Source organism: Homo sapiens, chromosome 15, assembly GCF_000001405.40.
Source record: "Homo sapiens chromosome 15, GRCh38.p14 Primary Assembly".
NCBI classification, from domain to species: Eukaryota; Metazoa; Chordata; class Mammalia; order Primates; family Hominidae; genus Homo; species Homo sapiens.
In genome coordinates, this window is record NC_000015.10 from 49479348 (window position 1) to 49495188 (window position 15841).

At 33.6% G+C, this 15841-nt stretch overlaps 2 protein-coding genes across 29 annotated transcripts in view; one reads left to right on the forward strand and one right to left on the reverse strand.

The window, feature by feature from the left end:
* Window positions 1–9428, forward strand: part of FGF7 (fibroblast growth factor 7) — a 65534-nt gene extending 56106 nt beyond the window's left edge. The window contains exons 3-4 of the mRNA NM_002009.4: window positions 3804–3907; window positions 4963–9428. Coding sequence (NP_002000.1) covers window positions 3804–3907; window positions 4963–5157 — 299 coding nt within the window. The 3' untranslated portion in view covers window positions 5158–9428. The remainder of the gene's footprint in view (window positions 1–3803; window positions 3908–4962) is intronic.
* Window positions 1–15841, reverse strand: part of FAM227B (family with sequence similarity 227 member B) — a 293849-nt gene that overhangs the window by 152378 nt on the left and 125630 nt on the right. Inside the window, exon 11 of one of the 28 annotated variants that reach the window (XM_024449863.2) lies at window positions 6071–10044. The exons of the other annotated variants lie outside the window; for them this stretch is intronic. Within the exon in view, the coding sequence (XP_024305631.1) occupies window positions 9965–10044 (80 nt within the window). The 3' untranslated portion in view covers window positions 6071–9964. Of the gene's footprint in view, window positions 1–6070; window positions 10045–15841 lie in introns of those variants that run through there. 28 annotated transcript variants of the gene reach the window in all.

Here is a 15841-nt window from a genome sequence, read left to right on the forward strand (position 1 = left end):
ATAAATTTACTGGGTACTACTTAATGTGAACAAACTTCTCTTAAGCACAAATGGAAATCCACAAAGAAAGACAGCCTCTTCTATTTGTTTTATGTGAGGCAACGGATACACTGTAGACAAAAAGACCAAGTATAATTAACTTATATTGGTAACTAACTTAATATCTGCATATTACATATTTTTCTATTATGTTTTCTGAGCAACTTCGTGGCTTCTGATTTGGAGGGTAGGATTTCATAGTTAATACCTCTGTTTTTTTTTTTTTTTTTTTTTTTTTTTTTGTGAAATGGAGTCTAGCTCTTGTTGTCCAGGCTGGAGTGCAATGGTGAAATCTCGGCTCACTGCAACCTCCGCCTCCCAGGTTCAAATGATTCTCCTGACTCAGACTACCGAGTAACTGGGATTACAGACACCCACCATCATGCCTGGCTAATTTTTGTATTTTTAGTAGAGATGGGGTTTCACCATATTTGCCAGGCTGGTCTTGAACTCCTGACCTCAGGTGATCCACCCGCGTTGGCCTCCCAAAGTGCTGGGATTACAGGCGTGAGCCACTGCGCTCCGCCCATAGTTAACACTTCTATAAATATTTGTGCATATTGAAAGGAACATCACTCCCCACACTGCAAGTGAACAAAAGAGTGATAATGTTAATTTCTTTATTCTTGAGCTTTTCTTGAATAAAAGAGGGTTGTAGGACATGGAACAAAATAGACTAGAAAATAGGGTTGATAAGCTACTGATTCTGCCAACACTGCTTAATGCTCTTCCCAAGCAATTGTCTTTTAGATATGTTGATTTCCCAGTGTTAATGGTATTTTTTAAATATGTCAAGCAATTAAGAATATAAGTCTATTCTCATCTCAGTTAAACGTAGAATCTTTACAAAGAATTTTTGGTATCCTTAACCCTAATATGTGGAGGGATAAGATTAAAAATGTTCATCACCTTATTTTTATTTATTTATTTATCTATTATTTTGAGACAGAGCCTCACTCCACCCACACTGGAGTGCTGTGGTGTGACCTCGGCTCATTGCAACCTCTGCCTCCCAAGTTCAAGTGATTCCCCTGCCTCAGCCTCTCAAGTAGCTAGAATTATAGGAATGCACCACCATGCCCAACTAATTTTTTTTTTTTTTTTTTTTTTGGTGAGACGGAGTCTCACTCTGTTGCCTAGGCTAGAGGGCAGTGGCGCCATTTTGGCTCACTGCAGCCTCCGCCTTCTGGGTTCATGCAATTCTCCTGCTTCAGCCTCCTGAGTAGCTGGGATTACAGGCACCCGCCACCACACCCGGATAATTTTTTGTATTTTTAGTAGAAACGGGGTTTCGCCATGTTGGCCAGGTTAGTATTGAATTCCTGACCTCAAGTGTTCCGCCTGACTCGGCCTCCCAAAGTGCTGGGATTACAGGTGTGAGCTACCACATCCAGCCATCCCCTTTGTAAAGTGCAGTAAAGAAACAGTGGGCAATAGACAGGCAGGGGATAGAGGAAAATGTTTTGGGAGAGGGGCAATATGAACTTATTGTCATGACTGGACCAAAAAGGGAAGATGTCTGCCTATCATAATTAATAATAACTCTATCAGTCAACATTTATGTTTTACAATTGTTCTGTAAAAGAAAAGCCAGCAAACATTACAGATTCCAGTCCCTAATAACTGATCATGAAAGACACTCTAAACTTGTGCATCAGCATTCTCTTTTTATCTAAAAGAAAATATATTAAATAAAGGGAGGAATGGCAGGAGTAAAGAGACTTGAAGGAAAAGAAAATATTGACTTCTTAATGATATTTTACAATGCTAAGATCTTTAGAAACCAACTATTCCATATGTCTTTTAAATATTAGGTTGGTGCAAAGGTAATTACAGTTTTTGTCATAAAAGTAATGGCAAAAGCCACAATTACTTTTGCACCAACCTAACTGATACATTTATTCCATTTTGGAGGTATTGCAAATATGTTGAATCAATGAATTTCTTCAGTATTTTTCATTTTATTAGTACAAATTTAACCTAATAGTATTCTTCTGCATGTTATTTCCCTTTGTGCTTCCTTTACTGCAATGAAGTTGTAGTTACCAAATAGAGTGCTCTAAAAGGGCAAGGCTTGTCTGTGAATTAAGCCTAGCATAGAATTGGCTCTCAGTGAAGATGTGTTGAACGTTACATGAATGCATCAACATCATAATCCTTCATGTGCTTGTAAGCAATTATTAAAATTTTCTCTAGCCTATTCAGGCCTGTGTTCTTCAAAATTCTGCAAAATATATGGACGTGTTTGCTGTTTCTATTAGGTTTTAACTTCTGGTGTCAGAAACCAGGGCTGTTTTTCTTAATTTGTGTCCTAAAACCACAGTAGGGTTGTATGCATTGTGATAATGCTTAATAAATATATAAAAGATTAATATCCATTCATTTGCATTTTCTTAATAAAACCCAATTTCTAGATGAGTAGCTGTGAAACTCTCAACTGGACGAGCTCTGACTAGTGTTAAGTATAGTATATTGGGAAAAGGGCTTCTATATGCAACATATATGTGAGGCAAATGACAAATATTAGCTGGGCTACATTAAATCCCAATGACATGAATAGAAATTTTATTATCCAGGTAGCAAAAATGAAGTAAAAAAAATAAATAAGAGAATGAAGTGAAGGTATGGGGCAAAACAATTAGTTTTTTCTTTAAGTCAATATTTTAGAAAATAGTTTTTGAAGGCCCAATCACACAGATAATTGACACTTTGACTTTTCTTTGCACTGTGTTAGACATAGGTAAAAGAATGTCTCAGGACTGTACCTTCATGTAGAAAATGTAATTAATAGCAAATTGCATAAAAGTACATTAAAATTTTAATTATTACATCATTTTAATAAATATCTTGAGATTTTACTTTATTTAGTGTGTCATTAAAACACAGGATTTAAGGAAGATATATATAATAAAGGAAAATAGTAAGTTACCATTCTTGTGTAAACACATTTTGTAAATACTATTTCAACAAAGATTTAAAAGTTAATTACAAAGGTATAAAGTTATGAAGTATTATATAAACAGGATTCATAATTTTGTTTTAAATGGTCTTTTAATGTATCAAAATACTATCAGTTTAAAACAATCTTTTTTTTAAGGCAGTAGGCTCTGTTTACCATCATTTACACTTGCTTTAATTAGAATTTTCTTCACTTTCAGTATATTCAAGAGCTATTCTGTTGGCAATAATTTTTAAGATAAAGTTTATCCAAATAGAAAAGTAATTATATAATGATTAAGAGCCAGAATGTCTGGGTTCAAATTCCAGTTCTGCTACTTATCAGGTATAAGAATTTGGGCAAATTTCTTAGTTTCTCTGTGCTTCAGTTTCCTGATCTGTAAAACTGGGATAACAAGACTACCTGTCTCAATCTGTGGTTATGAGTAAATGAGTTAATACATAAGAGCAATGCAATAATCCTTGGCATGTGGTATGAGTTCAATAAACATTAGCTATTATTATTATAGTAAATTAGAAATTTAATTCTAGAGAATAAAAAGCTGAACTCAAATATGTAACTATTTATTTGATACAGACACATTTTCTACAAAATAAAAAACCATCGGTTTGCACTTCCCTTATATAATGACTATCTTGGTGTTTGTGTGTATCTGTTGTGGGTCAGGGGTCTTGGGCTGAGTAAATAATCACATTAAAAATTTTAAAAACTTCCGATTAAAACAGAAATAAGAACAAATGGCCATTCGTGGATCATTTGCAAAACTGAACGAATATTTGACATGTCTTTCTGTGATTCCTTGCAGATATCATGGAAATCAGGACAGTGGCAGTTGGAATTGTGGCAATCAAAGGGGTGGAAAGTGAATTCTATCTTGCAATGAACAAGGAAGGAAAACTCTATGCAAAGGTATTGATAATTGATAGCTTAGGCTTAATTTTTAAAACTCATTTTTGTCAAAATATCTCACCTTTCTGAAAAGTAAAAATGGAATTAATTTATCTCCAACTGTATAATTTAATGATTTTATTAAAACACTTTATACTCAAACGTTAAGAAAAAATGTTTTCTGTGTGACTTTGGACAAATGGCTTGTTCTTTGGATTTTGGTTTCTTCATCTGTAAAATGAGTTGAATTAACTGACCTCTAAGGATCCTTCCAGCTCTAAAATTCCATGTGCATTTTAGATATTTAAAATCCAAAATTTCCATTTGCCAGTATTAAAGCTCTTTTTGTTAAAGTTCACCCAATTTGCACATTGCTGACATGAAAATTCTTGGGAAAAAATCTTGAAATGTTTAGTTCATTCATCAACATCAATCTCACAATCATGGGCATTGAAATGTAATTATTCACATTGTCCCCACTTCACTACAATGCAAAATATGTAACAGTTCATCCCACCATAATAAAATATAATTGGCTTTCCTTTGTATTCCCACAGCTAGGCATAATGATACAGGTTTAATTGAATGAACAAATGGTTGCATGGATGAACAAACAAATTAACCTTTTATCTTCCATTACCATTGAAGACAATGTAGAAGTAAATAAAGTTGTGAAACAAGTCTCTCACCTGAGGGAGGCAGAGGTTCTGCTAATTATACCAAATTTCCAGTGGTTAAAGAATGAGTGATGTGGGAATAAGTAATATGAGGCCTGTTACTTAGGGGGAAATAGGTCCTAATTTAAAGAATAGTTGACATGAACTTCCAAAAAGCTACACATATTTCATAACTAGCTGTGTATTATGTGGTGTTTTTATTTCAAATTTAAGATACCTTTTTATGCAAATATACTACATAAGTATAGCTAATAAACCACATTAGGCCTGCTCAATCTGAGGGTTAAAAAAAGTTGTGTATGTTTCAATTCTACCAAATATTACCTGCTTACTCTTCGTTTAATTGAGCCTCTCTAAAAATCATTTGGATAATGTCTGTTTGTTTGTTTGTTTTAACAGAAAGAATGCAATGAAGATTGTAACTTCAAAGAACTAATTCTGGAAAACCATTACAACACATATGCATCAGCTAAATGGACACACAACGGAGGGGAAATGTTTGTTGCCTTAAATCAAAAGGGGATTCCTGTAAGAGGAAAAAAAACGAAGAAAGAACAAAAAACAGCCCACTTTCTTCCTATGGCAATAACTTAATTGCATATGGTATATAAAGAACCAGTTCCAGCAGGGAGATTTCTTTAAGTGGACTGTTTTCTTTCTTCTCAAAATTTTCTTTCCTTTTATTTTTTAGTAATCAAGAAAGGCTGGAAAACTACTGAAAAACTGATCAAGCTGGACTTGTGCATTTATGTTTGTTTTAAGACACTGCATTAAAGAAAGATTTGAAAAGTATACACAAAAATCAGATTTAGTAACTAAAGGTTGTAAAAAATTGTAAAACTGGTTGTACAATCATGATGTTAGTAACAGTAATTTTTTTCTTAAATTAATTTACCCTTAAGAGTATGTTAGATTTGATTATCTGATAATGATTATTTAAATATTCCTATCTGCTTATAAAATGGCTGCTATAATAATAATAATACAGATGTTGTTATATAAGGTATATCAGACCTACAGGCTTCTGGCAGGATTTGTCAGATAATCAAGCCACACTAACTATGGAAAATGAGCAGCATTTTAAATGCTTTCTAGTGAAAAATTATAATCTACTTAAACTCTAATCAGAAAAAAAATTCTCAAAAAAACTATTATGAAAGTCAATAAAATAGATAATTTAACAAAAGTACAGGATTAGAACATGCTTATACCTATAAATAAGAACAAAATTTCTAATGCTGCTCAAGTGGAAAGGGTATTGCTAAAAGGATGTTTCCAAAAATCTTGTATATAAGATAGCAACAGTGATTGATGATAATACTGTACTTCATCTTACTTGCCACAAAATAACATTTTATAAATCCTCAAAGTAAAATTGAGAAATCTTTAAGTTTTTTTCAAGTAACATAATCTATCTTTGTATAATTCATATTTGGGAATATGGCTTTTAATAATGTTCTTCCCACAAATAATCATGCTTTTTTCCTATGGTTACAGCATTAAACTCTATTTTAAGTTGTTTTTGAACTTTATTGTTTTGTTATTTAAGTTTATGTTATTTATAAAAAAAAAACCTTAATAAGCTGTATCTGTTTCATATGCTTTTAATTTTAAAGGAATAACAAAACTGTCTGGCTCAACGGCAAGTTTCCCTCCCTTTTCTGACTGACACTAAGTCTAGCACACAGCACTTGGGCCAGCAAATCCTGGAAGGCAGACAAAAATAAGAGCCTGAAGCAATGCTTACAATAGATGTCTCACACAGAACAATACAAATATGTAAAAAATCTTTCACCACATATTCTTGCCAATTAATTGGATCATATAAGTAAAATCATTACAAATATAAGTATTTACAGGATTTTAAAGTTAGAATATATTTGAATGCATGGGTAGAAAATATCATATTTTAAAACTATGTATATTTAAATTTAGTAATTTTCTAATCTCTAGAAATCTCTGCTGTTCAAAAGGTGGCAGCACTGAAAGTTGTTTTCCTGTTAGATGGCAAGAGCACAATGCCCAAAATAGAAGATGCAGTTAAGAATAAGGGGCCCTGAATGTCATGAAGGCTTGAGGTCAGCCTACAGATAACAGGATTATTACAAGGATGAATTTCCACTTCAAAAGTCTTTCATTGGCAGATCTTGGTAGCACTTTATATGTTCACCAATGGGAGGTCAATATTTATCTAATTTAAAAGGTATGCTAACCACTGTGGTTTTAATTTCAAAATATTTGTCATTCAAGTCCCTTTACATAAATAGTATTTGGTAATACATTTATAGATGAGAGTTATATGAAAAGGCTAGGTCAACAAAAACAATAGATTCATTTAATTTTCCTGTGGTTGACCTATACGACCAGGATGTAGAAAACTAGAAAGAACTGCCCTTCCTCAGATATACTCTTGGGAGAGAGCATGAATGGTATTCTGAACTATCACCTGATTCAAGGACTTTGCTAGCTAGGTTTTGAGGTCAGGCTTCAGTAACTGTAGTCTTGTGAGCATATTGAGGGCAGAGGAGGACTTAGTTTTTCATATGTGTTTCCTTAGTGCCTAGCAGACTATCTGTTCATAATCAGTTTTCAGTGTGAATTCACTGAATGTTTATAGACAAAAGAAAATACACACTAAAACTAATCTTCATTTTAAAAGGGTAAAACATGACTATACAGAAATTTAAATAGAAATAGTGTATATACATATAAAATACAAGCTATGTTAGGACCAAATGCTCTTTGTCTATGGAGTTATACTTCCATCAAATTACATAGCAATGCTGAATTAGGCAAAACCAACATTTAGTGGTAAATCCATTCCTGGTAGTATAAGTCACCTAAAAAAGACTTCTAGAAATATGTACTTTAATTATTTGTTTTTCTCCTATTTTTAAATTTATTATGCAAATTTTAGAAAATAAAATTTGCTCTAGTTACACACCTTTAGAATTCTAGAATATTAAAACTGTAAGGGGCCTCCATCCCTCTTACTCATTTGTAGTCTAGGAAATTGAGATTTTGATACACCTAAGGTCACGCAGCTGGGTAGATATACAGCTGTCACAAGAGTCTAGATCAGTTAGCACATGCTTTCTACTCTTCGATTATTAGTATTATTAGCTAATGGTCTTTGGCATGTTTTTGTTTTTTATTTCTGTTGAGATATAGCCTTTACATTTGTACACAAATGTGACTATGTCTTGGCAATGCACTTCATACACAATGACTAATCTATACTGTGATGATTTGACTCAAAAGGAGAAAAGAAATTATGTAGTTTTCAATTCTGATTCCTATTCACCTTTTGTTTATGAATGGAAAGCTTTGTGCAAAATATACATATAAGCAGAGTAAGCCTTTTAAAAATGTTCTTTGAAAGATAAAATTAAATACATGAGTTTCTAACAATTAGAAAAGAAAAAATTAAAACATGAAATGATAACAAAAGTAAACAAAAGATACTTTCAAAGCAGTGAACAAAACATTTTGACATAAGCCATAATATAAATTATAATATAAAAAATAAAAACCATAGTATAAATTGTCAGCCTTTGAGTTGGCTACAAATTCAATTTAATGACAGAAGAGAAGGGATGCTGGAGGTAAATTCTTAGGGTTTCTATCTCATAGAGTTTGCTCTTCTGGTTCTCTAGACTGCCAAAGAACATAAAGATGTGCGAGGGGACCTAGCTGTAGTAAAAGCAATCCTATAACAAGAAAAACTCTAAAACAGTGCCCCTTACGATTTTCTACTGAAATTTCTCTAATAGTAGAGGTGTAAAATAAGAAGTTAGAGAATAATGCAAAGGGGGCCCACCACAGACGGAACATTTCTTTTCTCTTAAGACTCATGTGATTTTTGCATCTTACTCCATAATATATTTGTGGTTGCGTTAATATGACAATGTCTGCAATTAAACACCAGTAAGCAAAATTGATACATCAGAATGACTTGCAGGGCTTATCATGCAGTTTGGTTTACATCCCTACTCCACTGCCATTTACTTGAGCGTGAATGAGACACAAAAGATTATTTGCCTCCCATAATCCAACTTTACACATAAATAACACAAGGCTAAAGAAAACCAGAACTCAAATTCACCACGCATAGGAGTGATAACAAAAATATTTAACAGTCAGTATGGGTGATTACTGGCCAATCAGAATACATCACTGATACATCGAAATGGATGCAGGCCACTATGACTAACTTGTGGGTATCATTTCTATGATCACCCTAAAACAGAGTTGGGAAAATATCTATTAACTGGTCTCTCTGGTTTGAATTCTCAATATGTATCTTAATATGAAATAGCTCATTAAAACTTCATGTGTAACTATTTCAGCATTGTTGTCAGCTACTCTTTATTCCACTTCTGTACAGTATTTATTCAACCAAGCTGCTGCTTTCAATGAAGGTCACTTGTTCCTTCAGGGACACATATACTCCCACCTATCCTTTAATTTTGAATGGTTTGTCAGGAAAATTTACTTTCTCTTGAGTTGAAAAACTTGACAGGAAGCAAGAAATAATACAGTCCTAGCCTCTTTCCAATAACATCTGATTTCTCCATTCTCAAACTACACTTCTCAAGGAACCAGATATTTACTCTCATCTGGGAAGATGCCTCTTATGTTTTCCTTTTACTTCCTGGTTATCATGTGGTTGCATTTTCCAAGTTCTTATCATTGAATTTATGAGAGCCTATCAAAATTTATTTTCTTTCATTTATATTCTAATAATTGAAATGTGAGATGAAAATAACATTTCACTTATGAAAAACCCTTCTCTTGATGAATCCTTCCATGTGTTAGTTATCTATTGCTGTGTAACAAATTAAAACTTAATGGCTTGAAACAAATATTTGTTTTCTCATAGTTTATGTGGCTCAGGAGCCTGGGCATGGTTCAGCACAGTGTTTTTGGTCAGAATTCCTCATGAGGCTGCAATCAAGGTGTAGACCAGGGCTGTAGTCATCTATCTCAATATTCAACTCAGAAAGGGATCCACCTTAGATCCTCACTGGCTGTTATCAGGACCTATCACTTCCTAACCACATGGACCTCTCCATAGCACTGCTTACAACATTACAGTCTGTTTCCCACGGAGCAAGAAATCAGAAAGTGTGAGATGAAGTACCCAAAATGGAAGCCACAGGTTTGTTTTTTTATTTTAATATATATAGCCTAGTTTCAAAAGCGATGTTACCTCTGCCTACACTCATGAGGAGGGTATTATACAAGGGCATACATACCAGAAAGCAGGGATCACTGGAAGCCATTTTACAGGCTGCCTGATCCAAGTCATAAACTAGGTGTTTTTAATGTCACTGCCATAAACTGGGATTCTACAGGGTCTAATAAGAGTAATTCATGGCTTTCAGTGGGCATCCATTCATCAGAGAAAGAGATGAAATATGTATATTCTCTGTGGAAACATTCTTGATTCTTCCTTGAGGGATACTGCGTGGTCCATTCCTACAAAGGATAATTAACAAAAGGTTTGAACCAATCTGGACTTCCTCTTAGCCTGAGATGTGGCTACTTAGAACTCCCAATGTAGCTGCAAAACTAACAATATCCCTTTGCCTCCACATGAAGCAAATTACCCTGCCATCAGACTCAACATGAAGATAATCCTCCCTTTAGCTGCCCTACCTCAAGAGAATAAGATCATAGATGCCAGCTGGAATTCCTCTAGGCCATAGAGTGTTTTGTTCTAGATGCTGAAGGCAATCAGCCACCACTTACCCAAGACCATCTGAGAATAAGACCTAAAAAGACTTGAAAACAATTGATTTCAATGGTAGGTACACACTGGTATCCCCTGTTCTATATATATCTATAGATATATAGATATATACAGAACAGGAGATATATATATATATTTTATATATATATATATATTTTATATATATATATATATTTTATATATATATATATATTTTATATATATATATATATATATATAGAGAGAGAGAGAGAGAGAGAGAGAGAGAGACAGAGAGAGAGACAGAGAGAGAGAGAGAGAGACACCTAGGCCCCAACGCAGGCCAATTACATCAGTGTATATGACAGGTGGCCCATGCAGTGGTATTTTAAAAATTCCCCAGAAGATTCTAATGTGCCTCTGCAGTTGAGAACTAATTAGGTAAATGAAAACAACAACAAAAACCAAAAAACCTCTTCAGAAACTATGCCTGCTTCTTCATCTTTGTCCCTTCTTTAAACACCTTGAAAGGTCTTATTCCCTCCCAGCCCCTCCTGCCCCTAGGTTTTCCTAGATGCCTCCATATTTCTGCTATTCACAACTGGGGCTCACAGGAAATGTAGACACTAGAAAGAGAGTTACAATTGTTTTTGCATCAGAATGATTATGGAATACAAAGTGCACAAAAGTTCTCCCTCCCCCACCACAGTCCATTCTCAAACAGAGCAGCCAAAGTGATTCTGTTAAAATATATTTCAGATCATGCATCCTCTGTTTAAAATTGCAATTGTTTTCCATATTCTTCAGAATAGGAGCCTGTCCTTATAGTGGCTAAGGAGTGGCAATGGAAGAAGGTGAGTAATTAAAAACTTTGCTGCTTAATTAGGTGGGCAAAACAACAAGAAAAAGTAATAAAAATCTAGAGAAATTATGCACTTAAGTTGTTTGGCAGATGTCACTGAATTCTTAGTTCATTTTAAAGAAATGGATACTGGATACTATAGACAATATTTAATGGGTATAATCATTATTAGAATCATACTCAGAGGAAAGGGCATAGCTCTACATCGAAAAATGACGAATGTACCTTTTTATGTTTGAAGTAAATATATTTAGGGCATGTACATATCACCTTAATGATTCTCCACTTGACTGAAATTTTTCCATTAATCAACCAATTAATAGATACAACCAGGCTAGATGAGAGGGCTTCTACTTTACTATCACTTCTTTATTATATATCTCCGATTGTTGATTATTTTTGGTTATTTCAATTATTTTATGAAGATAAATATGAACAATTTATATATGTTTCTTTATATTTCTGATTTTCTTAGGACGATTACAGGAAATAAAATTGAAAAACTGATTTTCTGAAAGTTTTTTCCAGAATATATTCTAATCAGCAGTGCCGGAAGTAAATATTCTCACTTTTATACTCAAAATTTAGTCAGCTCTTATTCTTGTCTCTCCTTCCCTTTGACTCTGTGAATATGGTAAATCACCAACACTCAGCTAACTTCTTTCTCAACATCCATTCAGATTCATCTCTTTCTTCATCCTCCTACAGCTTTATTACTTCATGCCTAGAATTTAGCAATAGCTCCTTAATCTTTCTTGTTTCAAATTCCTTCCCATCTCATATACTGCCTAATTCTTTAATCTTCCTATAATACTACTTTGACTATTTCAGTCACCAATTGAAGACCCATATTGGCTCTTTTTTGCCTGTTGGGTTTAGTTTAAATCTCTTAAACTAGCACCCAAAGCTGTCAAACAATTGGCTCTAACTCGACTGTCCAATCTTCTCACTGTTCAATATACACCTAGTAGTTTCTTTAGTCCATTGTATTTATCATGATTTACACAAGTTGCAAATTGATTCTGCCTCTGAGTTTTGTCTATACTGTCCCCACTGCTTAGAATATCTCTACTTCCTACTGTCAATCAATCCATACCCTGCTCTGCTCTTAAGGACAAAGCTCAAGTTTAATGAGCTATTCCCAAACTTGCCCCTGCCTTATAACAATTTTTTTCCTTCTCTGAATCCTATTGCACTCTAATATAGTAATTGATTGCACACACACACACACATATGCACACACACACACATATATATATGCAATGTTTATGTATATGTGTATTCATCTACTTCAGTTAAACAAGCATATATTGACAATTCTACCATGTTTGTATCAAGCACTGTATGATAAATATATGTTGAGTGTGATAAAAGTAAAAGTAACTATTGCCTTTTTAAAATTCCCCATGTAATCTGGTAAGGAAATAGAACGTCAAAAAGTACTTAATACTATTAATACTTGCTTACTAACTGATCCATATTAATAATCTATTGATAAAATATATAATAAATTTTATATACAAAGATCTTTCCAGTCTTGTCATCATGCCTACATAATCTTATCTATTGCCATACAAAGGTCTGTGTTATATATTGGCAAGTCCTTTAGAATCTGTTTTTAAAAATAACTTATTTAACAAATGCAGCAATCACTATGTGAGGTAAAAACACATCTATACTTTTAAAAAATTCTGTCAGTCACAGGTTTGAAAGCACAAGATATTTGATAGCATTGATAGTGATGCTAGTCCTGTATACAATTTAAATAGAATCCATCAGGAAAAGCAAGAGATCAAAACTTTTTGCTTTTGAAGTACTTCATCCCTTATCCTTGAAAGCTTAGTGTGTTCAGCAGTTCACGCTCATAGGCCTTCTTAGAATGAATCATGTAACATTTTTCAGCTTTTCTCCCTTTTCTTTATTCCTGTCTGTTATTGTTTTGCTAGGTGGCAGTGCTTATCTCAATTCAATTTTAAGTTTCTATAGTTTACAGCGTTAATTATTAATTTTTCATATTTCTCATTTATTGTACATGTCACTCAACTAGCTATTCATCTGTCCAACTTTTATGATATTGCTCTATAATGAAAAAAGAAAAATGTTACTTTCTTGCTAATAAATCTTCCTAATTATCTCCATTCACTGTTTCAAAAATAATATTGGAATTTTTATTCCCTTTCAGAAGATAAATATTTACCATGCCTTAATGTTATTAAGGTTAAATCACAGGTGATATTTTATTGTCTTCTAAATACTTCATTTTCAAATTTTCTACATTAATATATATGATCTTTATAATCAGAATAACAATAGCAAATGTGGTTTAAAAAATTATCTTCACATTCAGTTTTTATGGAGCTGGAAGAGTGGGATGTTGGTGCAGCATTGATGTATTAAATAGCATGGTCTTCTACATAAATGATCAAACCTGGCACCCACATTGCTCATCTCATTCAATTAACTAAACTTACTGAAACTCCATAATTTCATAATAATGTAGTCATTGTTACCATATTTTAGTGGTGACTGTGTCCTGAATCTTCTTCTTGAATCTGTTCCTTTATCCAGTAATCACCAAGATTGCTCAACTCTTCTTACCTAATGTCCCTCAGTCTCATCTCTTCCTCACTACTTTCATGACCTCATTAAATTGTACCTAAAGTTTAGCAATAGCATCCTATTTGTTTTTCTGTTCCAAGTCCTCGTCTCAATTCCTGTTTAGTTACCTAATATTCCTAAAATGTCATTTAAACTATGTCAATTACCAATTGTAGAACCCATGTTGTCTCTCTAGGGCTCACTGAATTTGGGTAAAATTCTTTAAACTAGAAATCAAAACCATCAACAAATTGGTTCCATCCATCTGGTCCAATCTCCTCACTGTTCACAAACTTCATAGTATCCTTAGACCATTGTTCTCATGTCATTTTGTACACGCACCATACTTCCTTGTGTCTCTGGGATTTGTCTATATTGTCTCTATCATCCAGAATGTCTCAACTTCTCACTATCAATCCATACCCTGCTCTGCCATCAAGAACAAAATCAAGATTCTCCTCTTTAATGATTACCAGACTTGGTCCTGCCTTACGATGATTTTTCTCTTCTATAAATTCCCACTGCATGTCAATCTATGCCATTAATCTAGCATTTAGAGAATTTTTATCTCTATCTCAATAGAGGATGGATAGGCATACCTGTATGTCTATCTATCCATCCATCTACACTTATCTACTTAAGCAACTAGGCATACCTGTGTGTCTATCTATCCATCCACCTACACTCATCTACTTAAGCAACACAAATACACACACACTTATGTTATATATGTCCACATCTATTTCAGTTACACAAATATATAAAGGGGTCTGTGTATGTATGTATGTGTATATATATATATATATGTGTGTGTGTGTATGTATGTGTGTAGTCAATAGTACAGTGTCAGGCACTGTAATAGTGTTAATAAAATCCATGCTTCAAAATTTAAAACAATTACATACCTATAGATATATAATCAATTTTATGAGGATCAGATTTGGAACAAATGAGCCTTTGGAACCACTAAGAACCATAAGTGATAGCTGACAGACTGTCAAGAAAAAAACTTCCTAAGTCTTTAGCATGTCAGTTGTAGAGCACATGTATAAGTTACCATTGTGCTTTGACCCTAACAGTAATTTTAATGCTTGAGTCTTAAATATAAATATGCATATATTAAACAACTGCCAAACCAGTATCAACTCTATTGCCTTAGTGGGAGACACACAAACACACACACACACACACACACACACACACACACCCTAAACATAGAGTCAGCAATAAATTCAAAAAATTCAGTTGAACAAAGAAACGTATATTGTCAAGAACTGCAATTTCAGTTTTGTTTTTGTTGCAAACTTTCTGGTTGACTTCATTCTGTGTTTAACAAGGTCCAGTATTGTCCTGGAAGTCCATGTTACAAGACGGACTTTATTAGTGAAAACTTTTCCTAACATTTTGCTAGATTTATACATTGCACTGATTTACTCTAATGAAAACTTAGCTGTCCTCTTAGGATACTGCTTCCCCTGCAATCCTCTCAGTTGGAGGCTCTTTTTTTTCCCTCACACAGTATTCATACCAGTCTAGAGGTGTATGGTAGGTATATGTATGCCTGCTACACATTCTATGTAACTTATTTAATCACACTTGTTGGTTATTGTCTGTCTCTCCTCACTAGCCCATAAGTTCCATAAGGAAAAGGATACTGTTTTGTTCCCTTATGTATCCGAAGCTCCTTTAAGAGCAGCTGTTAAGCACTCAGTAAATATATTTAATACTCAGGAAATATAAGGACTCAGTAAATGTTCATTGCACTCAGCAAATATTTATTAAACTAATGGACAAACCAATTCCAATTCAGTGACAGAATAATAAGCACACCTCACTGCAAAGAGTCATTCTAATACCTAAGCATGATACAAATGTCATTGTTGCAAATGAATAGAAATATATCACATTGTTTTATGCAAACTGATGACTAAATCTCTCAGGTATTCAAAGTCTTATCATTCACTTCTCCATAACACAGCATTTTAATGTCATTTAGTATAATATGCTAATAATTCATTTCATAATATAATGGAAACCTGCTGTTTCAAAATTAAACCCAGCCCCTCTGACTAATGCTACCAACCAACAGACCAATATATCTGGGG